Here is a 27,191-nt window from a genome sequence, read left to right as displayed (position 1 = left end):
GACCATGAGTGGCCATTGTTATCTAAAGCTAATGCAGGGAGCCAGGGGCAGCAGTGGCCTGAGTTAAATATCACTGGATCCTTTAGTATAATTACAGAGTCAGGACTTAAGGAGAGTCATTGACATCCCTTTCATCAAAAAGAAAAGAAAGAATTGCTCCCTGTAATCCATACCCATTAATTCAGCATCTCCCCTAGATAGCTGAAACCCCTTCAGAAAGACTGGAATATTTTCTAGATAATAAATCTGGGTCTTTATCTTTCCCTTTTCTTCTTTCCCCTCTTCCCTTTGCCCCATCCCTGAACTTCCCCCTCTTCTTGTGTTTTTGTCCATAAAAGAGCAGCTTCTGTCATTCATGTGACAATGAGCCTCCTTAGGTAATTAAAGGGGAGTCTGCAGCCTGAACTACAAGTGAGAGGTCATCTTTTTCAGCTTATAGTCCTACCTCTACTGGGAGTGTGATTCTGGGGACAAGAAGGAAGAAACGGTGCCAAAGCGCATGGATGGCCAATTGTGCGCCTGGCTCTTCCATGTGGAGTAGGCAGTGGGGCTGCTTGGAGCACACTTAGTGTTTGCCCTCCAGATTTTTCCAGTCTCCTCATAGATGACCCATGCCTGATCTAGAATAGGGAGGCAGGGTTTTAGATTTAACTAGAAGTCTTCATTTGTATTCTTCCCAGAAGCAGACCCTGAGATGAGGGTTCTGGGAAATAAGGAGAACAGCAGTTGGGAAGAGGAGAACAAAGCCAGGGGATGACTAGAGCTTAATCCTTTGGGGAAACTCTGGGTAACAGCACAGAACACACCTCAGAGTTATCTTCCTAAGGTGCCAGATGAGGGAGTTGAGGTATTTATACACCCTCTCCTGAGACTCATGGGTTGAGGGCTGCTGGAGGCTGCGATGACAATGCCCTGACACATGGGCCTGCTTCCTGGGGGCAAAAGCCTCAGGCACAGACATACATACACTGGGGTTTGAAGTTGATTGTTACATACTGTAATAGTAACATCCAAGCAATACTAGCAGGGCACTGACAGCATCTAATACAGTTTTTTTTTTTTTCACTAAAATGCAAAGGAATGTTTGCATTTCTTTATCAGAAGAAGGAAAAGAATGCCAGTCTTCCCATTTTGATGGTTGTGCCCACAAGAACCAGCAGAGCCTGGAAGGACAATATGCTTGGTAGTGGGATCATTTGGGGCTAGTGAGGGGGCAGGGTCTCGGGAAAAAGGGCACGGTGCCTGGTGAAGGGAGTCATTCTGGGGGTGCTGCAGTGATGATGCTAGTGGCAGCTGTGCCCTTGGCAATGGGAGTGGGGGTCTGCTACTGCAGTGAACCCTGAAAGCAGTAGGGAGGTGCTTCTTTATATCCCTTAGAGACTTCAGCAAAAAATATCCTTGAATAAGGCTAGGGTAGGCAAGGGAAAAATGGCAGGCACAGCAGTGGACTCAGCTTGATTGTGAAGCCCTTTCTTAGGCTCTGTATGGGGCTGGAAATACCACATGTGTCCTGTTTGGTGGGGAGGGGTCCTGTTGGGTGGATAAGTGATGCTCAGAGCATTTCTAGGGCAGGAGTTGTCAAACTTTTTCCTGCTAAATATTATAGGCTTTAGGGGTACTACTGTCTCTGTTGTAACTACTCAGCTTCCCTATTGTATATCAAGAAATGGTCACAGACAATATGTAAGGAATGCGTATGGCTGTGTTCCATCACAACTTTATTTATGGATGCTGAAATCAGAATTTTATATAATTTTCATGTGTCACAAATTTTTTTTTCTGATTTTGTCCATTCATTAAAAAATGCAAAACCTATTTTTACCTTGTGAGCCACACTGAAACAGGCTGTAGGCTGAATTGGGCCCGTGAACTGTATTTGCAGACCCTTGTTCTAGGGCTTCTCTCTGACTTGGGCTCCAGGGTTAAGGGCAGATTTCCAACCGATTCTTGACAGCGTAGGAGGGGCAAACCTCCTCCTCACTCCAGTGAGATAAGTGACTCATCCAATAATGGCAAAGACTCAAAAGCAAGGAGATAGAACCTCATGTATGCGTGGACATTTAACTGGCTCCGGTGAAGGCTTGAAGCCCTATTTGCTAAGCTTCTGCTCATTTGCTGCTCCAGAAAGTGACAGCCTGCATGACCAGTCCACAGCCTGTTACTTTGGGGATTTTACAGGGTTCATAGAGTAAAGAGGAGACTTTGGGTAAATACAGATCAAATATTTGGGTGACACTGGTAGAGTGAAAAGGTAGACTTTTAAGCCACATCGCCTTGCACGCAGCTTCCAGCTCTGCCATTTACAGCCTAGTAATCTGAATCAAGACACTTAATTACTCTGGGTCTCAGTTTCCTCATCCATAAAATGAGGAGCAATAATAACCCCCCTTTTAGGCTTATTATGAGGATAAAGTAAGACAATACGTGAAATGACCTTGGATCAAGCTCAGCTTGGCATCTCATCTTTACTTAATGGATGGTTTTAAAATTATTTTTAATGCCAACTTCACAAAGTTGTGATAGAAATTAAATGAGATAAATGTGTAAAGGGCTCAGGGACATAGTATGTGTTAAGAAAATTATTGCTACTATTAAAAATATGATGGAGAAAAAAAGGTTAGGTATTTCTCCATCTTCTCTTTGGGATGATGGCTCTCAAGAGGTGGGAAGAGGAGGACAATGGCACCTGCATAATTTTGATTGCAGGATATTTGTATTCTTTCCCTTTCTGAAGTTCCTGAATAGCAAATGTTTTTGACAGCAATTGGGTCTGGATGCCACGTTTTGAAGCCCAACTAACAAACAAGAGATTATGAGACTGCAGTTATCTTTTACCAGCTGCGTGGAAAAATCCTGTCATTTGGCATCACACAACTATGAATTCTTTTATCTCTTTCTCCCTTCTTATGTGCTCCTGGAGCATATGTAAGCAAGCTCTGACATTGATAACACATTCTTATTAACCATTATCTGAAAGATGGGATGCCAACTTAGGAGTTTTGCATTGCATATCAGATGGAAATTTCCATTGGGGAATGGAATGTTATCCACTCCTGGCCAATGACATCCCAAGGCTGAAGTTACCTTCTACATACACCATAGTCTGAGGTCATGAATTGGCTAGATTTCTGCCCAAATCTTTGCCTACTCCTTCAGAAGGAAATGGAATATGAGGCAACTATGGGCACTTAGAGGGAACAGAAAGTTGATTTTCTGTCATATAAACGTTAGCTTCTTAGGCAGTGTAGATGGAGCAGGTGACTGGAGCCAGAGGGATGGGGTTGTGCTTGTAGAAAGGCCAAATGAACAGGCTGAGTGGAGACCCTGTGGGGGCCCCTGAGATGCACCCTTTAATATTCATCCCACTCCATGTGGTCAGTCTAAGCACATCATGTAATTCCCATTTTCCTTGACAGAAATTGGTTAAGTAAAGGGCATGTTATCCACTCCTGGCCAATGAGATGAGGAAAAGCCTACAGTACGTGTGTGTGTGTTGGTTGGGGGGCAGTCTGGGGAAAGTTTATCTTCTGTGAAGAAGGAACTCAGAGAGAGAGTGCCTTTTCGCCCTGTGGACTTTGCCATGAGCGCCTGGTGCTAAGGTGTCATCCTGCTATCATCCCTCTGAGAGACCAGCATCAAGTATTCCTGAAAGGCAAGAGGGATGGTTCCTGGATCCCTAAGGACAGCATTGCCTGGCAGCTGATCTCTACTTGCCTTCAAATTATAATATCTCTGTGCTTGCTCATTGTTGAAGTCAGTTTGAGTTGGAACTCTGTTCCTTGTAACCAGAAGGATCCTATCTGGGGGCCACATTTTTGACATTGGAATATCACCAAGGTGAGAAATAAGGGAAGGGTGTGCACTAGGCATTTAGAAGAGGGGAGCGGCTGGGCACTTTTAATGGGTTAGTGTGAAACATACCTTGTACTCTATCTGGAGCATCCTATATTAATTAACTAACTTATTAATGAGCCTGTATAAGGCACCTACTACATGGTCAGCATAGGGACAGGTCTTTCTGAGAATAAAAGAGTCATATAAAACATCATTCTAGTTGTCAAGCATCATAAAATTTAGTTGGTGGAGACAAGACTAGAAATAAAACAAAATAAGTGGTTTAGAGAAGGGCGTGATGAGTGAGTGCTAGAGTAGGTAAAAGCTTCGTGGGAGATGGAGAAAGCTAAGCTGGGCCTTAATCAGCAGAAAGAATAAAGGTGAGGACATAGAGACGTTAAGTCACATGCTCCAACACAGCCAGAAAGTGGCAGAGCTGGGGTTCAAACCCAGTATGTCTGACTCCTTCCAACCCTGGGCATGTAACTACTATGCTGGAGCATACTTATGCTCCCAATGTGTATTTGTAAGCCTGGAATGCTCATATATTAATTTATAATGAGAAATAGAACTGGAAAACATTATGAATTCAAAATCTGTGAAGCCAAGTTATATTCAGAAGGTTCCCAAGGCAGCTTGAAGCTGATTAACAGACAGGATATCCCTGACACCAGGATGGAGGCATGTGTCTTGAAGGGCTAGTCCTTCTCTTCCTGGCTAGGTACTGGTAAGAGAATGGCCAGTTTTGGAGTCTTGGGGCTCCCATTTAAATGCTCCAGGCTGTTCCTAAAGTCCTTCTTCAGTCATGGTGTAAGTCAACTGGTCAGGCCTCTAGGTGTTCATTATGTTCACATTTAATTCAGTGGTGTACTAGCAAGTGTTTAACAAATGGCTCTCTGGGGCACTGGGGGAAGCCCTAATTTGTAACATTCACCAAGTCAAGTTCCATGGTGTAAATACTCCCTCCAAGACTATTTCAAGCTACCAGCAGGAAGAGATGCACACAATCAATGGCTCTTGAGTGCTGGTACCGGCAGGCTCCAGCACACCACTGTGCTCACATTGCATCCTGCCTCTCAGAGCCTTCCCAGATGCCTTGATGGGAATTATGGAATGTTCTCAGACTTTTGTAGAACATTTACCAAATTAGTCACAGCCATGTGTGTGAACTTTTTCAGTTTAATTATTGGAAAATGGCCTCACTTCCAAATTCTTGGAGAACACTGTTTTTACCTTCATGTACCGTCAACTAATAGAGCTGTAAGGTGGCCAAAGAAACCAAAGATGGATTTCCTTTCTGTATTGCCTAAAGTCCAGAGTTCTGTTAAAAATTACTGTCAAGAGTGAGGCTTGGGGTCTGTGCTGCACTGAGTAATACCATGGGTAGCAATAGATAAATTGGCACAGAAGAATCTTCTACAGCACCACCGCCATTCACCCCCTGCCTCACTTTGCTGTCTTACCCAACATTACATGACAGAAAAAAGAAATTGTGTTGCCTAGTAACAGCTCTGAGCAAGGGGAGACCAGTCAATACAATTCTGAATTAAGGCAACATCCACAAAAAAATCCATCTTGAGGATTTATACGAAAACCAAAGTGTAGTTATAGTCTTACAAGCTGGTGGAGAAGTCCCATTAGCTTTGGGTATTGGATTATTTAGAATAATATATCTGAGATATAGATTTCTTTTTCTGGGAAGAATAATCTACTCTGAGGCCATGAAAATCAATAGGCCACTTTGAAGACTGACTTCAGCTGTTATTGGTAATGTTTTGGTTGTGTTTGTGAATCAACAATCAAGCAAAAATAAGGCCATTTAGTAGCTCACACTAAAGAGCACTACTTGTCAATTTTGCAACGAAGCCTCTCCATCCATTGAATGAAACAGCATCTCCCAAGGGCTGCTGTGAGCCTATGGAGACCCTGAAAGCTGACACCAGCACAAAGAATTAAGGATAAGTCTTCCAGGGTGGCCAGTCATCCCAGCATATTGAGACTGAGGAGTTTCCCAGGATGCTGGACTTTTAATGCTAAAACTAGGAAACTCCTTGGCAAACTGGGACAGTTGGTCGCCCTGGATCAGTGGTTCTCAACTGCAGATGATTTTGCCCCTCAGGTAGGGTTGCCAGATAAAACAGAAGATACTCTGTTAAGTTTGATTTTCAGATAGACAATGAATAATTTTTCAGTATAAGTATGTCCCAACTACTACAATGGGACACATTTAGAGTTAAAAAGAATTATTCTTTGCTTGTCTAAAATTCGAATTTAACTAGGCTTTTAACATTTTTTAAAAAATTTTTTTTGTAAAACTGACAGTCTTACCCCCAGGAGATAGTTGGTAATGATTGGAAGCCTCTTCGGTTTTCACAACCACAACTTCATCAGGGATGCTACTAGCATCTAGTGAGTAGAGGCCAGGCATGCTGCTAAACTTCCTATAAGGCACCAATGCAGACAACAGCTGCCTAAAACAAAGAATTATCTGGCCTGAAATGTCAGTGGTGCAGAGGTTGGGAAATCCTGCCGTAGACCTAAACAAGCTGGTGCCACGGAGCTCCATCTTCCTTGAGAAAACACTAAAGGATGGACGTGGGCTTCCCTGCTTCATGCACACAGATGGAAAAATGTCACATACATTCCTGACCTTTAACACTTTCAGTCTGATGCGTCAAACAGCCATTGGGAGCTTAAGAAGTGTCTAGCAAAATGGGACAATTCCCCTTGCCGGACTCCCCCTTCCACACTTGGAAGGGTGAGGCAGTGTGTGTCATCAAACAATAGAGCAGATAAAAGCTGAATCAGGGTGGTCTCCAGGACACCCCCATCTCCCCAGACTTCTATGGTGACATTTCTTGCACTCCTCAAGTTTGTTCATGGCTTTGAAAACACAGTTTCAGAATGTCTTCATTGTTTCATACGGTACTGGCCGCGCCTGGAGTTTTCCTGAAGGAAACTGTAGCAGCAGGAATTTTGTGCAATACTATAATAAGGGGGCTTTATCCTTCCAAAAATACATCCTTTCTCCTTGTTGCCAGCTCTCCCACAGCCCTGTGAAAAATGTAGCTCAGAAGTTACTGAGGCGTTTTTCTGTTTTTCCTTTCTCACTTTAGTTCATATCAAGCAACAGAAAGCAATTCTATTATTCACACTTAGGCGTGCTAGCTTGAATGAATGAACAAATCAAATATCAATCCTTTTCTCATTTCCCTAGTGTGTAAGAACTGAAATGTAGAAAGTGGCATCTGCTTAAAAGGAATTGGTGAATTTGACTTCTCTAGGTACCTTATCCAAGTGGAATGAGTGTTTAATGGGCACAGAGTTTCAGTTGGGAAGATCGAAACGTTCTGGTAGATGGATGTTGGTGATGGTTGCACAACTATGTGATTATACTTAATGTCATGGAACTGTACACTTAAAAATGGTTAAAATAGTAGATTTTATGTTATGTATATTTAATCACAGTTTAAAGAAAGGAATTGGTGATGCATGTCTATGCATGTAAGTTTTGATATATGCTTGCTGATTGATTATTTATCTAAGGTCTGTTTACATATTTTCCCCCAGTAAACTTGGTACTTGCCTCATTGTCCTGTATCCTTATCCTTAAATTAATTGGACAATGCCTCTTTCTTCTTCTCCCTCTTCTTAACTCCAGCAGTCACATGAAGATAGAAATATATTTTGTCTTTGGAAGTTACTCTTTTTTAATTTTTTAATTTTTGTGGGTACATACATAGTAGGTGTATATATCTATGGGGTACATAAAATGCTTTGAAATAGGTATGCAATGCATAATAATTACATCATGGAAAATGGGGTATCCATCCCCTCAAATATTTATGTTTCATGTTATAATCCAATTATACTCTGGAGTATACGCTGAGTACTCCAAATGTACTCAATAGTACAATTAAATTACTACTGACTATAATCACCCTGTTGTACTACAAAATACTAGGTCTTATGCATTATTTCTAACTAATGTTTTTGTACTCATTTACCATTCCCCCTCCCCTTCACAGTCCCCCATTACCCTTCTCAGCCTGTGGTCACCATCCTTCTACTCTCTATGTCCATGAGTTTGATTGTTTTGATTTTTATTAACAAATCCTGCAAATAAGTTAGAATATGCAGTGTTTGTCTTTCTGTGCCTGGCTTATTTCACTTAACACAATGACCTACAGTTCCATCCATGTTGTTGCAAATGACAGGATCTCATTCTTTTTTATGGCTGAATAGAAGTCCATTGTGTATAGGTAGGATATTTTCTTTATTCATTCGTCTGTTGATGGACACTTAGGTTGCTTCCAAATCTTGGTTATTGTGAACAGTGCTGCAACAAACATGGGAGTACAGGTGTCTCTTCACTATACTGATTTCCTTTCTTTTGGGTATATACCCAGCAGTGGGATTGCTGGATCATATGGCAACTCTATTTTTAAATTTGTTGAGGAACCTCCACACTGTTCTCCACAGTGGTTGTACTAATTTACATTCCCATCAACAGTGTACCAGGGTTCCCTTTTCTCCACATCCTCGCCAGCATTTATTATTGCCTGCCTTTTGGATATAAACCATATTAACTGGGGTGAGGCCTGCATGTCTTGTTCTTGAAGTCTCCCACAATTTCTCCACTAAGATGTGAAAATGGAAGACTAGCAGGCAAGCCTGTGGGAACCATCTGCGTCACTGGCATCTGGGAAAAGCAACCACCCAGGGCAGGATGCCACGGGACAGGGGAGCATAAGCAACTGAAAATGAAGCGGCCACAAGGCCAGAGCTTGGGTCTGTGGGCTTCACTAAAGAAAACCCAACACGGGCAGCTCTTCTAGCTGAGGAGCTAGGTCCCTGGGATGGGCCCTGATGGGGGAATCTAGACTGGGAAACTGGCATCAGCCCTGCCAAGATCCTGTTTTTGGAATCTTGATGCTAGGCACTAGGCCTCTCATATCACTCCCCTCTGGTCTCTCCACCCCTCTCCTTAAACCCCTCCAGCTCAGACATAGGACACTCTCCCAGGCTAAGGTCTCTGTTCCCTTTCACATGGAGTCTGGGGCCTGTGTTCCTGCCATGTTTACTATACTGAATCACTCCTGCCACAGCCTAAGCCCACTCCCCCTGTCTGAAATCAAGGAATCTTGGCCTGGTGAGAACCATGAAGGGACCTGAGCACTCTCTGTAAAATGTGTACAGTGATCACAGAGGAACAAATTGGACAGTGGCCTCAAAGTTCTTGGCCACCATGAGCAGCTACACATCCAAAGATGTGTCTGTGGATCCTGTCTCTTGTTCCAACCAAGTGTTCTACTTTTCTACAGAGCATGGAGCAAAAACCCTGACATGATTCACTCTGGCAAGGACGTGTCCAGGGAAAAACTGGAGGGGAGAACATTTAATGTGGGTAAAGGAACCTGGGTAAAAGTTAAAAACACACACTTTCGAAGGAATTAGCTCTGAGTGCAAGAATCAGTTTGAGTACAGTCATGGTCTTCTGCGTTAGGCCTTCTTTGAGCCCACAGAACTTTACCTATGTGGGTTGCCCAAGAGCAGGATCACAGAGAAGCCCACCTCCACCTCTTACTCATACCCAAGTCTCACTGCAAGGCAAATCTCAGGCATGTGCCTCAGCATCATATGAGGTGAAGGTGAGTGTGAAGAGGCTCTGGCAGAGGGGCTGAGCAGAAGGGTGCATGGGCACATGCCATTCCTGGCCCAGCAACTTCTCAGCTGTGAGTACTCAGCCAGAGAAGTCTGCCTAAGCCTCGGTTTGTTCATCTGGGAAATTGAGATAATAGCACCCATCTCAAGCTACCTTTGTGAGGGCTCAAAGGGCACCTGGTGCCTAGCAGCATCCACTTGTGTGAAAGTCTCTTTTAGGTGAGGTAACCTAGAGGCAGAGCCTGAGACAGTGATTCAAGTGCATGCAGTTTATTGAGGGCGTGCTCTCAGGAGAAAGAGAACAAGGAAAACAAGATGGGGCAGGGGAATACACTAAGCAAGGAAGTGGTCCTGCTGAGTCTGCTTGAGCTTATCCCATGGGGAGCCCTGCAGCATGAATTGCAGCCTTCCAGACTGGCCCCTTCTGGAGGCCAAGGGCAATCATTGTCTACAGGCTGCCTCTAAGCGGGTAGGGAGGGTAGCAAGGAAACTCTACCTTTTAGGGGTAGAGGTAGCTCTCTGAAAGAGGCAGCTTTCATTTTGCTGAGGCCAACATTTTGAACTGCCTCATTCAGCACAGGGCAGCTGTGAGCACTCTGTAGTCAACATTCATCGCAGCTGGGGATGGGCACCCCTTGGTGAAGGAGATCTGGGTAGGGCACCATCAGCATCCACCACACGTCCTTGGCTTTTTAGAACTTCCAGCAGTAAACTACCTTGTTCAGTTGGCACAGAGGCATACCTGCCTTGTCTTGAATCTGGTGCTATCCTGAGTTGCATCATAGCAAGATGCTACTGGATGCCCCATGCCTGCAGCATCACACCATCACTGGGTGTGTCTGGGTACCACTCTTCTGATCTCACAGGAAGTAGCCAAGCCGGGGAGTCGTTTTGCCAACAGCAGTGATGAATTCATACTGACCAGCCACACCCTTTTCTTGTCACCATTTTGATCAAGTATCTCTTCTCAAAAGGCTGAGATGGGCCTGTCTGAGATCAATAACTAGAACCTTGCTTTTCCAACTGTGGCAGACAGAGCAGCAGCCTGGGCATCACCTAGGCACTTCTTAAGAAGGCAAAGTCTAGAGGCTCAGAACCATTGTCTAACAGGATCCCCAGGTGATCCACGTGTACAATGAAGCACGAGAATTGCTGGAAAAGACACTTCCCCTTTCTTTCTTCCACAGCACCATTGCAATGCTTCAATGTTTACACTTACCATGTTTGTGTCCCAGAAGAGTGGTAGCATGAAGCCAACAAGGACTTGGGTTTGAAACCCAGCTTTGTCACCAGCTAGCTAGGTAACCATGGGCAAATGGCTATACCACTCTTGAGCACTTTTTTTCTCTACAGGTAAAGAGGATAATTTCTAAATCATAAGGTTGTCATGAGACAATGTATTTAAAACACCAAACTGTGCAAAGCCCATAGTAGGCATACCAAAAAAAAAATTCCCAAAGAACTAGCTTAGTGCTTGACATGAACTCGCATTTAGAAAATTTAATTGAAATGAACTGCATTTAAGCAGGCTGACTTTCAGCCTCAAGAGCCAGAATGTCTGCACATGGAGGAGGAGGGAGTTTCAGAAACTTTGATCTCACTGCCTGTTCTCATTCCTCTTGCCCTTGATGGTTTTCACAACATGTCATCAGCTGTTGACACATGGATGGATATGTCCCTGCCTATGCAATGTCTTTGCCTTGCAATGTCTGAAAGGATGGATGGAGACTAAAGGGACAAAGAGCAGGGACAGAGGCTATGTGGCCTTGGCATTTGGAGAGCACAGGCCACCCTCCAGACTTCAAAGCAAATATAGCAATCCAGCAGAACATGCCAAATTGAGCCCTGGCTCCCATTCTGTTTGCCCTATACAGGTTATACATTTTTTAAATTACTCGAAGATCCTACATAAGCATTTTATGCCTCTCACTATTTGAGCACTTGGGGTATGCCAAGATTTTTGCATAATTTTTGTGTTTTATCTTTACAGTGGCTCTGTGAGGTGGATGCAATGAGTCTCATTTGATGGATAAGAAAAGTGATGCTCTGAGAGACAAATATGATTCCTAAAACCACACAGGAGGCTAGTGGCAGAACCACACAGGAGGCTAGCGGCAGAACCACACAGGAGGCTAGCGGCAGAACCACACAGGAGGCCAGCGGCAGAGTCAGGATGTAAACCTGGATCTGGCAGATTCCAGAGTTCCTAAGCCCTTGACTGTAGGCTTAGCATCATATAGGTGTGTATGTAAAGAGCTGCAAGCTGGTAAACCCCCACAAAATAAAAAAGAACCAACTAACTCCATTATCAGTTATTTATAAATTCAGAAACTAGTTGAAAAGAAAGAGAAAAAAAATGACAAATTTTTTAGGATGCCTACTCTTTCATATGCCCTTGAATGTGTGATCAAACTCACTAGAGCAAGCCCTCCTCTTCACACAAGTGCCAGAGTAAGAACAGGACCCCTCTAAAGCCTACCGCACACCCCCACCAGCAAGCTAAGGGTTGACTGGGTCCTTGAGCTACAGCCAAACCTTCAAATGGGGCTTGTCCCTGGTGACCAGCAGTTCTGCAGAGTCCTGCTCATCTGTAGGAACTATGGGGCCCCCCTTGTCACCCAGCTCTGATGCTGCCTTGTCATTCCCTCAGCTCACACTCAGAATTCGCCACCCTACCATCTCCTGCCAGGAATATTCCAAGAATGTGGAGTAACAGGGGACAGCTAGGCCCCAAATCACTTCCAGTCATAATTTTATATTATATTAGCACCCTCAAACTGTGGTTCCTCTTAAAGATATCCTTTCTGGCTTTCTGTCTTCTGTAGAGTCTTGCTAGATTTACACGCTGACAGAATGTTAAAAGTGGGAAAGGTTCTGTTTCCTCATTCATACAGACCCATCTCCCACCCACAGGGATTCCTTCTTCAGCACCCCTGACAGGATGGTGATGCAGCCTATGCTTCTTCCTTTGGAAATATAAAATGTATTACCTCAGAGGGCATTCTGTACTATATTTCAGAGCTCTGAGTTTTAACAAACCCTTCTTTACACCTACCTGAAATCTGCTCCATTTTTATACAATGTATCCACCAGCAAACCTGTGTTGAGCATAGTATTAGTTATGACATAATATTACAAGTGACAGAAAACCCACTCAAATTGACTTACCCTATAAAAGGTATTACTAGAAAAAAAATGGCTCCAAGTGAGGCTTGTCCCAGAGTTCAAAAATGCCACAAAAGACCAGGTGGTGCTCTCCTTTCACTCTGCCTTCCATGGTTTTTTATTTATTCTTATTTATTTTTAGTTTTAGTTTTTGAGATGGAGTCTCACTCTGCCACCCAGGCTGGAGTGCAGTGGCGTTATCTCGGTTCACTGCAACCTCTGCCTCCTGGGTTCAAGCAATTCTCCTGCCTCAGCCTCCCGAGTAGCTGGGACTACAGGCACGAGCCACCACGCCCTGCTGATTTTTGTATTTTTAATAGAGATGGGGTTTCGCCATGTTGGCCAGGGAACTCCTGACCTCAGGTGATCCACCCGCCTCGGCTTCCTAAAGTGCTGGGATTACAGGCGTAAGCCACCGCGCCTGGCCTCCATGTTGTTTTTCCACTCATCTTTAAGCTCTCATGGCCGTCCTGGGTCAATGAGGTTGTGAGCAAAATGGCTGCTGCAGACCAGGCCTCTTACCTCATCCTCCAGGAGAACTAAGAGCAACTCTTGTTGCCAGCGCCTCTCACAACTCCTAAGACTCTCTCTTATTGGCTCACATTGGGTCATGTGCCCATCTCTGAACCAATCACTGCAACCAGAGAGATGGGCTATGGAGGCAGAGAAGGGAACAAGAGACAGGGGAGCCAACTTGAGGGTAGGGGGCGGGAGGAGGGAGAGGATGGGAAAACTACCTGTCAGGTTCTATGCTTATTACCTGGGTGGTAAAATAATGTGTACACCAAACCTCTGTGACACACAATTTACCTATATAACAAACCTGCACATGTACCCTTGAACCTAAAATAATAGTAAAAAAAAAAAAGACTTGAAATGAAAGAGGGGTAAATTCTCTAAAGGAAAATGAGAACACCATTGACAAGAGAAGGTGGGAATAAACACTGGTCAGGAACCCACAAATGCCTCCTACCATTATTTGCTTATTGACAGCCACCATGCTGGTTACTGAGGATGGCAAGTTGACTGAAACTCAACCCCTACCTAAAGAAGCCAATAGCTACACACGAACAGAAAAACAAATACTGCATGTTCTCACTTATAAGTGGAAGCTAAACATTGAGTATACACGGACACAGAGAAGGGAACAAGAGACAACGGAGCCAACTTGAGGGTAGGGGGTGGGAGGAGGGAGAGGATGGGAAAACTACTGATCAGGTTCTATGCTTATTACCTGGGTGGTAAAATAATTGTGTACACCAAACCTCTGTGACACACAATTTACCTATATAACAAACATGCACATGTACTCTTGAACCTAAAATAAAAGTTTTAAAAAAAGAAGCCAATAGCTTGGTGGGAACACTCATTATTACTGTACAAGGTTCATATCAGTGCTACTACATTCTGGAGTAGAGAAAATACATCCTCTTTTTATTGAGGGATCTTCCAAGCATCTGAAGACAACTTGCCCACCTCTTCAAAATCTCCCCTAAGTTAAACATCCCTGGCGTATCCAGTTTTAAGCCCTCTGACTTGGCTGCAAGACTCAGACTATGACAGTCCCTTCCTGGGAATAATATGAACACAGTGCACGGAATTGAACCTGATCTCCGGAAACAATGGGACTGCCTTAGGCTGGGATCCCCAGCAATAGAATCTGTGACGAGGATTGATACTGAAAGGGCGAAAACTAAAAGCATTCCCCTCAAAAACTGGAATAAGATAAGGATGGTCACTCTCACTACTCCTATTCAACATAATACTGGAAGTCCCTGCCACAGCAATCAGGAAAGAGAAAGGAAAAAAAGGCTTCCAAGTAGGAAAAGAAGAAGTCAAACTATTTCTCTAAACTGGTGATATGATTCTTTACCTAGAAAACCCTAAAGACTCTGCCAAAAGGCTCTTGAAACTGATAAATGAATTTAGTAAAGTTTCAGGATACAAAATCAATGTACAAAAACTAGTAACATTTCTATATACCAATAACATTCAAGGTGAGAGCCAAAGCCAGAACACAATCCCGTTTACAATAGCTACAAAAAAAGTTACCTAGGAATACATGTAATTAAGAAAGTGAAAGATCTCTACAAGGAAAACTATGAAACACTGCTGAAAGAAGTCATAGATGACACAAACAAATGGAAAAACATTCCATGTTCCTGGATTAGAAGAATCATTATTGCTAAAATGGCCATACTGCCCAAAGCAATCTACCGATTCAGTGCTATTCCTATCAAGATACCAACATCATTCGTCACAGAACTAGAAAAAAAAATCCTAAAATTCATATGGAAAAAAAAAAAAAAAAAAGAGCCCAAAGAGCCAAAGCAAACCTAAGCAAAAAGAACAAAGTCAGAGGCATCACATTACCTGACTTCAAACTATACGTAAGGCCACAGTAACCAAAACAGCATGGTACTGGTACAAAAACAGACACATAGACCAATGGAACAGAATAGAGAACTCAAAAATAAAGCCATCCACCTACAGTCAGCTGATCTTCAACAATGCCAACAAAAATAAGCAATGGGGAAAGAACTCCCTGTTCAATAAATAGTGCTGTGATAGCTCTCTAGCCACATGCAAAAGAATAAAACTGGGCACCTACCTTTCACCATATACCAAAATTAACTCAAGATGAACTAAATATTTAAATGTAAGCCCTCAAACTATAATAATCCTAGAGAAAAACCTAGGAAACACCATTTTTGACACCAGCCTTGGGAAAGAATTTATGACTAAGTCCTCAGAACAATTGCAACAAAAACAAAATTGGCAAATGAGACGTAAATAAAGAGCTTCTGCATAGCAAAATAAACTGTCCACAGAGTAAACGGAAACCTACAAAATGGGAGAAAATATTCACAAACTATGCATCCAACAAAGGGCTAATATCCAGAATCTATAAGGAACTTAAACAGTTGACAGAAAAAACAAACAACTCCATTAAAAAATGAGCAAAAACATAAACAGACACTTCTCAAAAGAAGACATATAAATGGCTAACAAACATGAAAAAATGCTCAACATTACTAATCATCAGAAAGATGCAAATCATAACCACAATGAAATATCATCTCACACCACTCAGAATGGCTATTATTAAAAAGTCAAAAACAATGAATACTGGCGAGGGTGTGGAGAAAAGGGTATGCTTAAACACTGTTGGTGGGAATATAAATTAGTTCAGCCACTGTGGAAAGCAGTTTGAAGATTTCTCAAAGAACACAAATCAGAGCTACCATTCACTTCAGCAATCCCATTAGTGGGTATTCATCCAAAAGAAGATGAATTTTTCTATTAAGAAGGCACATGCATTTGCATGTTCATCACAGGACTATTCACGATAGCAAAGACATGGAATCAACCCAGGTGCCCATCAATGGTGGATTGGATAAAGAAAATGTGGTACATACATACCATGGTATACTATGCAGCCATATAAAGGAACAAAATCATGTCTTTTGCAGCAGCATGGACGCAGCTGGAGGCCATTATTCTAAGTGAATTAATGCAGGAACAGAAAACCAAATACCACATGTTCTCACTTTTAAGTAGGAGCTAAACAATGGGTACTCATGGACATACAGATAGGAAAAATAAACACTGGGGACTACTAGAGGGAGGAGGGAAGGGGGCAAAGGTTGCAAAACTATTGGGTACTATACTTAATAGCTGGGTGATGAGATCAGTTGTACCCCAAACTTCAGCATCATGCAATATACCCAGGTAACAAACCTGCATGCACATGTACCCCCGAATCTAAAATAAAAGTTAAAATTATAAAAATAAATAAATAAATAAATAAATATTGTAAAAAACAAACCAAAAAAACACAATGATATATTTAGGTTTATTTATTTTGTGTGTCAAAATAAATTCTTGTTTTACTCAGAAAAAATAAAGGATTTATCTGGGAGGTGATCTCAGGAGATACCAGTACGGTAGGTAGGGTAGAAAAACTGATGCAGAGTGGTTAATGAGCAGGTTATCACCATGGGCAACTGGGGCTCACCCCTCCCAGGGAATTCTGGGAGACCATGAAGAGCATGCCATAGAGCAGCCCCAGTCAAGGAGAATGAGGCTAGGTAGTTAGTTCTCAACTGCCATCTGTCTATTGGTTAAAGCTGCTCCAAGGGTAGTGTTGTGATTTGAGTATGGTTTGTCTGGTTCTGCCAAGTCTCATGTTAAAATTTGATCCCCAGCGTAGGAGGTGGGGACTGGTGGGAACTGTTTGGGTCGTCGAGGTAGATCCCTCATGAATGACTTGGAGCCATTCTCTCATTCTCTCAGGAGTGAGAGCTGGTTGTTAAAGAGCCTCCTCCCTCCTCCCTCTTCCTCCCTCCTTCCTCTTCCTCCTCCTCCTCCACCTCCTCCTCCCTCCTCCTCCTCCTCCTCCACCTCCTCCTCCCTCCTCCTCCTCCTTCTTCTCCTTGTCCTTGTCCTTCTCCTTCTCCTTCTTCTTCTTCTTCCTCTTCGTCTTTTCTCTCTCTCTTCCTCTCTCAGCATGTGATCTCCACACATGACGGCTCCCCTTCGCCTTCCACCATGAGTGGAAACAGACTGAAGCCCTCACCAGAAGTAGATGCCAGCACCATGCTTCTTGTACAGCCTGAGGAACCGTGAGCTGAATAAACTTTTTTTCTTTATAAATTACCCAGGCATAGGTATTCCTTTATAGCAACACAAATGGACTAAGCGAGTGTTAACTTCCTGGCACCCTGGCCTGCCCCAAGCACAGGCCAAACACAGCCCTAAGGCCAGTGAAGCCACAGTTAGACAGGTGGGGAGGCTGTGGTCTGAAGGACAAAGACCCCAGTCAATCAATCAATAGTTTGTGCCAGGCACAGTGGCTCACACCTATAATCCCAGCACTTTGAGAGCCTGAGGCAAGAGGATCACTTGAGCCCTTCTTCATTAAGAAGTTGTTGGCCTTAAGGGGACCGTGAGTGGAGAGGGAACATGGAAAATCATTAACAGCACTTGTGACAGGGACTACTACTCCCCTCGAGCTGGACACTCACTCCGCTTCTACATGAACAATGTTAGCACCCAGACATCTTATAAGCTAAGACTGAATCTGTGGTTTCAGAAAATAAACAACCCAGGGCTTGATCCCACAGATCAAGCGTTTGGTGCCCACCAGCACTTCCCATTACTTCATCCTGTACCAGTGCCCTTGGGTTTTGAATTAAATGTTGGGTCATGCATTTCTCCCTGGAAATTTTCACTGTTATGGTTTCAGCCCAAGACTCCAGCCTTTTGAAATCACCTGGTCTCTTGACTGGATTATCCATTGCACTAACTCTGCCTCCCTGCTTCAATCATGACCAAGTCTTAAATGTTGCCTTTTGTCTTTTTGTTTTCTTCAACTTTTTATGATACAAGCTATACCTATTCATAAGGAAAATTCATTAGAAAAATTAGATCAGTAAGATGAAGGAGAAAAAATTGCCTACTCTCCCATCACCCAGGGGTAGCTGCTGTTAATGTTGTAGTTTGTTTTCTTATAAAATTTTATGAATGCATGAAAATATTTTTTTCTACAAAAATGGGATCATATGATATATTATTTTACACTCCTCCCTTCAGAAGGTGAAATTTAATTCTCTTTCCCTCAAATATGGACTGGGCTTAGTGACTTACTTCTCACATATAAAAAAGAAAAAAATAATAGTTTTATAGTGGAAAAATCTGGCAAACACCACCTTAACCAAGTGATCAGGTTAAAATCACCACTGATAAGTCATGTTGATATCACATGCTCTCTGTTGCGATGCAATGAGAAGGGCACTTCGCCTCAGTGGCAATGTTCTTCCCCAACACCTGTAACTCTATCTAATCTTGAAAAAACATCAGACAAACCCTAGTTGAGGGACAGCCTCCAAAACATCTGGTAAGTCTTCTTCAAAAGTGTCAAGATCATGAAAACAAGAAAAGACAGAAATGGCCACAGATTGGAGAATACTAAGGAGACGTGACAACTAAATGCAATGGGTTATCCCAGACTGGATCCTGGAACAGAAAAAGAGCGTTATGGAAGACTGGTAAAATTTGAATGAAGTTGGTAGTTTAATAAATAAAATTATATGGTTACTAATATCTTAGCTTTGATAAATCATGGTTATGCAAGATGTTAATATTCAGGGAAGCTTGCATGAAAGGTATACCAGAACTCTCCGTGCCATCTTTGCAACTGTACTATAAATCTAAAAGGATTTCAAAATAAAACCATTGTTATTAATAAATATATACGTGCTAAACATCTTTCCAGTTCAGTTGAGATCCACAATAACATTTTTGATGGCTGCCCAGCATTTTATTATATAGAGATACAAAATTTTACTTAATCAATATCTAATGTTCCCCCTCAATGTTTCTATTTTGACAAACTGGCATGATAATTCTCTTAAATTTCCTTTGTGCACTGCCTTTAGGATAACTTTCAAAAGGTAGAATTTCTGGGTGCAATCTCTTTTCTAGTGTCTGGAAATACCTGCACCATTACTACCTAAAAAGCTTGTCTAAGGTGCAGTTGCTTAGCTGACACCCTGGATGAGCTGAACTCAGATATCTAGGAGTATAGGCCTAGGAATCTGCATTGTCACAAGCAGGGGCAAAGATTGTCATAGGCAGTATTGTTTGAGAAATATCGCTTTGGTCTTTGATAAACTAAAAAGGGTCGCAGATGCCATGGTTGGCCCAGGCCCTCCACAAGGCCTGCATTGACACCCCATGTACCAACTGGACTTTTGTAGGTGGGGAATCTGTGGTCTGAAGGATGAGGAGCCCAGTTAATTAATCAATAGTTAGTTTGGGCCAGGCACAGTGGCTCACACCTATAATCCCAGCACTTTGAGAGGCTGAGGCGAGAGGATCGCTGGAGCCCAGGAATTGAAGACCGGCCTGGGCAACAAAGTGAGACCCTCATCTCCTCATCTCTACAAAAAAAAAGAAAAAAAAAATTATCCAAATCTGGTGGTGCACGCCTGTAGTCCCAACTAATTGGGGTGCTAAGGTGGTAGGATCACTTGTGCCCAGGAGGTTGAGGCTGCAGTAAGCCATGTTCAGGTCACTGCACTCTAGCCTGAGTGACAGAGCAAGACCCTGTCTCAAAAAAAAAAAAAAAAAAGAAAAGAAAAAAGTTACTTCGGGGCCGTAGGCTTTGCAGAGTGTGCTGAGGGAAACATAGGCTGTGGCCACGGCAGTGGAGCTTTGCTCTTTTAAAATCCAAAAGCAGAGCTAAGTGGGAGAAGGTGGGTAGCTGAACTGCCCATCACCTCAGACTTCCTTCCCCTCTACAAACCCAGGAGCTGCCGGTGGATATCACCTCCCTTGCCTGGGCTTGAGAAAAGGGGAGAGTGGTGCTTCAATTTGTCAGAAAAGTGGTCTTTCCAGCTTTCTGGGTGACCAACTCATGCTGACTTGCCTGGGACTTTTTCCATTTTCACTGAGAGTCCTGCGTCCCGGGCAACCCTTTAGTCCCAGACAAACCTGGGCGTTTAGTTACCCTAAGTGGCCCAGAGAGAACCCTGGGCCCTAAATCAGAAATCTGGCCCTACTCAATGATGAGGATAGAACAAATCCCAGAGCTCTGAGGTTTGGAGGGTTAACCAAGGGGAGAAATCCAAGATGCTCCTGAGCCCTCAATCTGCCTGTTTCCACAGCACATCACTGTCTGCTTCCAACACCCTCTATGTGCCATGTCGTCTGTGTGGGCAGCTGTCTCACCCCTCTAGTCTCCTTCTAGGCATCAGCCAACACTTACTCAAATATTAAAATTCAGTTCCAGTATCACCTCCTCCAGGTATCCTTCATGTCTCTCCACAGGCTGGGTTAGATGGCAATGCCCCTGTGCTCCCTTTTTCAGGGAGCACTCAATCTCTCTCCAGGAGAGAATCACAAACACCAAATTCCTACTCTCCCACTTAACAGCTATGTGACATTGGGCACGTGACTCAACCTCTCTGAGCCTTAATAACAGTACCTACCTCCTAAAGGGAGCACGGGATTAGATTCAGTGAGATAATGTATGTGTATATTTAACTCCAGTCAGAGGAGATCCAGGTGTTGTGAGGCCTGAGGCTTACACAACTCAGGAACTCTCTTTAACTGATAAAACCCATAAAATTACCAATATAAAATTAGGTAAGAAAATGAATACTTAGGATAAGAAACAGCAACGAATTATAAATTTTTAAAAGCTGAGTGATATGGTTTGGCTGTCCCCACCCAAATCTCATCTTGAATTGTAGTTCCCATAATCCGCACCTGTAATGGGAGGGACCCAGTAGGAGTTAATTGAATCATGGGGCAGTTACCGCCATGCTGCTGTTCTCATGATAGCGAGTGATTTCTCACGAGATCTGATGGTTTTGTAAGGGGCTTTTCCCCCTTTTGCTTTGCACTTCTCTGTCCTGCTGCCCCATGAAGAAGGACATATTTGCTTCCCCTTCTGCCATGATTGTAATTTTCCTGAGGCCTCCCCAGCCATAATGAACTGTGAGTCAATTAACCCTTTTTCCTTTATAAATTACACAGTCTCGGGTATGTCTTTATTAGCAGCATGAGAATGGACTAATACACACCCAAGAAATTACAAAATCAAAAAAAAGCGTGTCGTTTTTATTAAATAACTGTCCCCTCTAAAAATACCTTTTCCCCTGATTTTTTTTGGCTGCTTCTCTTTGATTACCTCCTGACATGGCACCAAGTTTATAATGTTATTTTTCTCTAAAGCCAACAGTTGGATAATTTGGACTTTCCTCTACCATGGTTCATCAATTATTTTTCATTATCAATAGTTTTTTAAAGTTTCTTGTAGCTTCACAACTCATCGCTGGTAAGGTCATGTACATTTTTAGGACTATTGTCAAATTTAGGAATCTCCTCTGAAGCCGACAAGTTTCAGGGTTTTGTGTTTTCTTATGCAGTGACCCATCTTTAACTATGCTTTGGGTTGACGGTGCTCATTAACCAGTTTGCCATTCACATAATCATCATGGTGGCGCACTAGGAGGCCAATGCCATCACATCTGACAAGAGATAACATTCATTGTGTTGAGGCATTGAGTTAAACAGAATCCTTCACTTACAATTTCATGTGTCTAGTAACTGGAGGAAATTTCCTCAGAATATATTTCAAATCTTGTTTTTCCTCCTTCCATCATGCAGTTCCATTGTGAGTGCTGTGGCTTGTGTTTCACATCGTGTGACAACCTGTGGCCCTGCATCTCCCAGACACAGTGCCAGGTGAGTCAGCTGTGTGGGTGGCAATTGAATTCTTGAAAGTCATTCTTACACTGGGACATCCAGCATAACTTAGCTAAGCCCCAAAGTGACGGTGAACCACATCCCTCCACATCCAATAGCATGAGTGACCAGTTCATCACCACCTTGGCCAGATCCCTGAACTGCCTGTGACTACTGCAACTGCACCCCACCCTAAGGGCAGTGTGACAGAGCAGGCATCACAGTGGAGAAACATGGTGGTTTTCATGGGTTGTTATTAAAATATCTTGCTTTTGTAAATTTACAAACACATGGCACCCTGGGTCCCAGGGCCTTGGAAGAAGCCTGTGTAAGGGAAGGGAACTCAAGCTTACATTTAGTTAGCTTCACAAAGATCAGTCCTGCTTCCAGCAGCAGGTGACAGAATATCCAGCTCAAAGTGGCTCCCAAAACAAGAAATCTTACTGACACACATAACTGAAATCAGAAATGAGCAGTCTGAGGAATTCATCCGTAGTTTCTCATGTTCACCAGAGACCCAGGCTCTCTCTGCATTTCCTCTCTGCCTTCTGCAGAGCCAGCTTTGTCTTACACCTGGATCTCCTGCAGTGCTTGAGATGGCTGTCAGGAGCCACCTGTCTTTCTGCCTCCTTCAAGAACTACTATAGACCCTTCAACCACCCTCTACTTGAGTCTCATTGACTTAAAATGGGTCACTCACTGGTCTTAAACCGATCGTAGGCCAGGCCATAGGGATTACTTCTAGCCCATCAAGTCCATGCCTGGAGCTGAGATCAAGGCTCCAATCCTCACTGCTACTCCTCCATGGGGATGGAGGAGCCAAGCTGTCAGAGTCTCACAAAGGTCAGAGGTCATCCACAGTCAGTAGCCTACAGGGAACACACAGAGTCATTTTCAACACTCTTTCTGTGGAAAGATGCCTTCAGAGCTCCAAACCATCTATTCACTCTTTTGTTTATTAAATAAGCTTGTACAGATGCCTACTGGGGCCAGGCCCTGTGCTATAAACTGGGAAATCAAGATGGGACTCAGATATAGCCCTCACCCTTCAGTGAACAGTCTAGTTCAGGAGAAATGAGAGCATATCACTGCAATAGAGAATGAGAAGCTCAGCCTAAGCACAAAAGAAGGTCCAGGAAAAACTTCGAAGAGAAACACCACTAGATCATCTTTGAGGAGAAAGAGTGAGGGAGAGGATGTGACAGGCAGAATGATCCAATTGTGCAAAGGCCTAGGGTATAGACAAGGGCATGTGTGGATCCACATGGCTGGAGGATGGGGAGAACTTGGTGTCTGCTGGGTAAGAACTGCCTCCCACCTTCCAGTTGGAAGTGAGCACATCATGTAGGTCTTTGTGCTGGGCTTTGGGCCTGGGCTTCACCCTGAATGTGATGAGTGGCCAATGAAGATTATTCAGTCAGAGAGCAACACAGTTAAATTCAGATTTAAAAGCCTGCTTTTTAAAGTAGGTATGGAGGAGTGATGGGAGGAACACCATTTAGGAGTTGAGCAGAAATTATTTCAAATTCTGCTTAGTTGGCTGGAGTGGTATTCCCTCTGAAACAGACACCTCCCAATTCCCCAACACACACATGTGCACGTGTACACACACACACACACGGAGCTTCTACCAACCACTTCTGAGAGAACCCTAAACACCACCAAAAGTAGCTTCTTTCCCGGTGTTGGCCATTGTCAGCCATCTCACAGCTCCTGGTGTGTATGTATGTTAGTGTGTATGTGTGTGTATTGGGGGTTGGTAGGGGCTGATCAGGAACCAGCTTCTACCTCTCACTACTTGATGCTCAGACTCTCTGCAAAGAGACCTGGAATCGTGTATGAAACAGAAACTGAGCCCTTAGTGTCCCTTTGAAACTCCCTCTGTCTCTTGAAAACCCTGAAATGGCGAAAGATAAGGATGGGACAAGGAGAGAGTACCAGCTTTGCACTCAGTCACTATATGATCTTGAGATAGATGTTTTATGTTCCCAAGTTTCTGTTTCCTCATGTGTAAAATGGGAAAGAGTATTCTCAGTTTTACCTACTTCCTGGGAGACTAAAATGGAACTAAGAGAATAAATTGCTGGAATGGAAGAGCTAAATGTTTCTTTTTAGGAATATCTGTGTGGAACAGGCATATAACAATATTAATAACATTTAATTTATTGTTATGTATGTGAATAACATTTATTGAGTACTGTCTTTGAGCCAGGCAACTTCATTACCCCTTTTAATTCTCAAATGACAGATAAGGAAGGGGATGGCCCAGAGGGGTTAACCAATGTCCTCACAGTCACAGGCCTGGTTAGGGGCAAAGCCAAGATTCTAACTCAGTGCTATCTGGCTCCAGTGGTGCTCTATTGTTACCGCTCCAGTGGTGCTCTATTGTTACCACTCCAGACTGTCAGCTGAGAACAACTTAGAAGTTTTATGATTTTCACTCCAAACAAAATTTAAACCGGAATGGCATATACCATTTCCACACTCTTGGAAAAGACAAGAGGTCCCCATATATCAGGTACGTATTTGGAGCAAACCAAGACTTAACAGGATCTAACTTCAGAAGAGTAAGAGTAACTTCCAGGGGGCAGAGCAAGATGGCAGAATAGAAGGCTCCACCCATTGTCCTCCAAGCAAGAACACAATTTTAAAAACTATTTATACACACACACAAAAAAACCTTGATAAGAGCCAAAAATCAGGTGAGCACTAAAAACAGTCTTTTTCCTGTCTCTGAAGGGTAAGTCCCAGGCCAGGCACACCACTAACTGACTGAAGAACCCTTGGACCTTGAGGGAACATTGGTGGTAGCTTGGCAATACTCTCTGTGGGCCTGTGGTGGTGGCGGCCACAGGTGAGGCTCCTTTGACTGTGGAAATGGGAGGGAAGAGTGGGAAGGACTGTGTCTTGTAGTTTGAGCGACAGCTCAGCCACAGTACAATAAAACACCACGTAGACATCTATGGTTTTTGACTCTAGTTCCTGGCTGGAGCATGGTACCTCGATAGCTGCCCAGGGCCTGGAAGAACTCACCACCCTAAAGGAAAAGACACAGGCTTGACTGGCTTTGCCACCTGCTGATTGTAGAGCCCTAGGGCCTTGAATGAACATAGGCGGTACCCAGGGAGTGGTTACAGCAAGCCTTGGGTGAGATCCAGCACTTTGCTGGCTTCAGATCTGTCCAAACACAGTACTAGTGGTGGTGGCCACAGGGATTCTTGTGTCACTCTACACCCAGCTTCAGATGGGTCAGAACAGAGAAAGACACTCCGTTTGTTTGGGAGAAAGTAAGGGAAGAGAACAAGAGTCTCTGCCTGGTGACCCAGAGAATTCTGGATCTTCTCCAAGACTACCAAGGCAGTAAATCTATGAGTCTGCAAGGACCACAGCATTAGTGGGCTTTAGATAGACCCCTCACAACACCCAAGTCCTTTAGAATATATGGAATGCCTTCCTTTCCAAGAAGGATGAGTACAAACAAGTTCAGACTGTGAAGACTATAATAAATACCTAACTCCTCAATGCCCAGACACAGACAAAAAATCGATAAGTATCAAGACAATCCAGGAAAGCAAGACCTCACCTAAAGAACTAAATAAGGCATCAGGGACCAATCCTGGAGAAACAGAGATAAGTGACCTCTCAGAGAATTCAAAATAGCTATTTTGAGAAAACTCAAATTCAAGATAACACAGAAAAGGAATTCAGAACTCTATCAGACAAATTTAACAAAGAGATTGAAATAATTACAAATAATTAAGCAGAAATTAAGCACACCCCACCTTCAGTATTGGACAGATCTTCCAGACAAAAAGTCAACAAAGAAACATCAGACTTAATCTGCACTATAGATCAAATGGACTTAATAGATATTTACAGAACATTTCATCCAACAGCTGCAGAATACACATTCTTTTCCTCAGTACATCGATCATTCTCAAGTATAGACCATACATTCAGTTACAAAACAAGTCTTAAAATATTCAAAATGTGGTGGCTCATGCCTGTAATCCCACCACTTTGGGAGGCCAAGGCAGGCGGATCACCTGAGGTCAGAAGTTTGAGACCAGCCTGGTCAACATGGCAAAACCCCATCTCTACTAAAAATATAAAAAATAGCTGGGCATGGTGGCACACCATTGCAATCCAGCCTGGGTGACAGAGTGAGACTCCATCTCAAAAAAAAAAAAAAAATTAAATAATATCAAGCATCTTCTCTGACCGTAATGGAATAAAAGTAGAACTCAATAATGAGGAATTTTGGAAACTATACAAACACATGGAAATTAAACAATATGCTCCTGAATGACCAGTGGGTCAGTGAAGAAATTAAGAAGGAAATTAAAAAATTTCTTGAAACAAATGATAATGGAAACACAACACATCAAAACCTATGGGATACAGCAAAAGCGGTACTAAGAGGCAACTTTATAGCTACAAGTGCCTATATAAAAAAAAAAAAGAGGAAAAATGTCAAATAAACCACCTAACAATGCATGTTAAAGAACTAGAATAGCAAGAGCAAAGAAACACAAAAATAGTAGAGGAAAAGACATAATAAAGATCAGAACAGAAATACAGGAAATTGAAAAGAAGAAAACAATACAAAACATCAATGAAACAAAAAGTTGGTTTTTTTTAAAGTTAAACAAAATTGACAAACCTTTAACCAGGCTAAGAAAAAAGAGAGAAGACCCAAATAAGCAAAATCAGAGGTGAGAAAAAGACATTACAACTGACACTGCAGAAAGTCAAAGGATCATTAATGGCTACCATGAGCAACTATATGCCAATAAACTGGAAAATCTAGAAGAAATGGACAAATTACTAGATACATACAACCTACCAAGATTGAACCATGAAGAAATTCAAAAGCTAAACAGATCAATAACAAGTAATGAGATAGAAGTCATAATAAAAATTCTCCAAGCAAAGAAAAGCCCTGAACTGATGGCTTCACTGCTGAATTCTACCAAACATTTAAAGAAGAACTAATACCAATCCTACTCAAACTATTCTGGAAAATATAGGAGGAGGAAATACTTCCAAACTCATTCTATGAGGCCAGTATTACCTTGATGCTAAAACCAGAGAAAGACACATAAAAACAACAACTACAGGCCAATATCTCTGATGAATATTGTTGCAAAAATCCTTGACAAAATACTAGCAAACCAAATTCAACAATACATTAAAAATATTATTCACTGTGATCAAGTGAGATTTATCCCTGGGATGCAAGGATAGTTCAACATATGCAAATCAATCAATGT

General features: G+C 42.8%; 1 long non-coding RNA gene across 1 annotated transcript; it reads left to right on the top strand.

The window, feature by feature from the left end:
• Positions 1 to 17,255: 17,255 nt before the first annotated feature.
• LOC105377045 (uncharacterized) lies at positions 17,256 to 24,777 on the top strand. Its single transcript, XR_940769.3, has 3 exons — positions 17,256 to 17,288; positions 21,841 to 21,918; positions 24,658 to 24,777. It is a non-coding gene; the product is annotated as an uncharacterized LOC105377045 (long non-coding RNA).
• Positions 24,778 to 27,191: the final 2,414 nt, after the last annotated feature.

Source organism: Homo sapiens, chromosome 3 (assembly GCF_000001405.40).
Source record: "Homo sapiens chromosome 3, GRCh38.p14 Primary Assembly".
NCBI lineage: Eukaryota > Metazoa > Chordata > Mammalia > Primates > Hominidae > Homo > Homo sapiens.
Note: the sequence above shows the minus strand (reverse complement) of the source record. Positions and strands in the feature narration are given on the sequence as shown.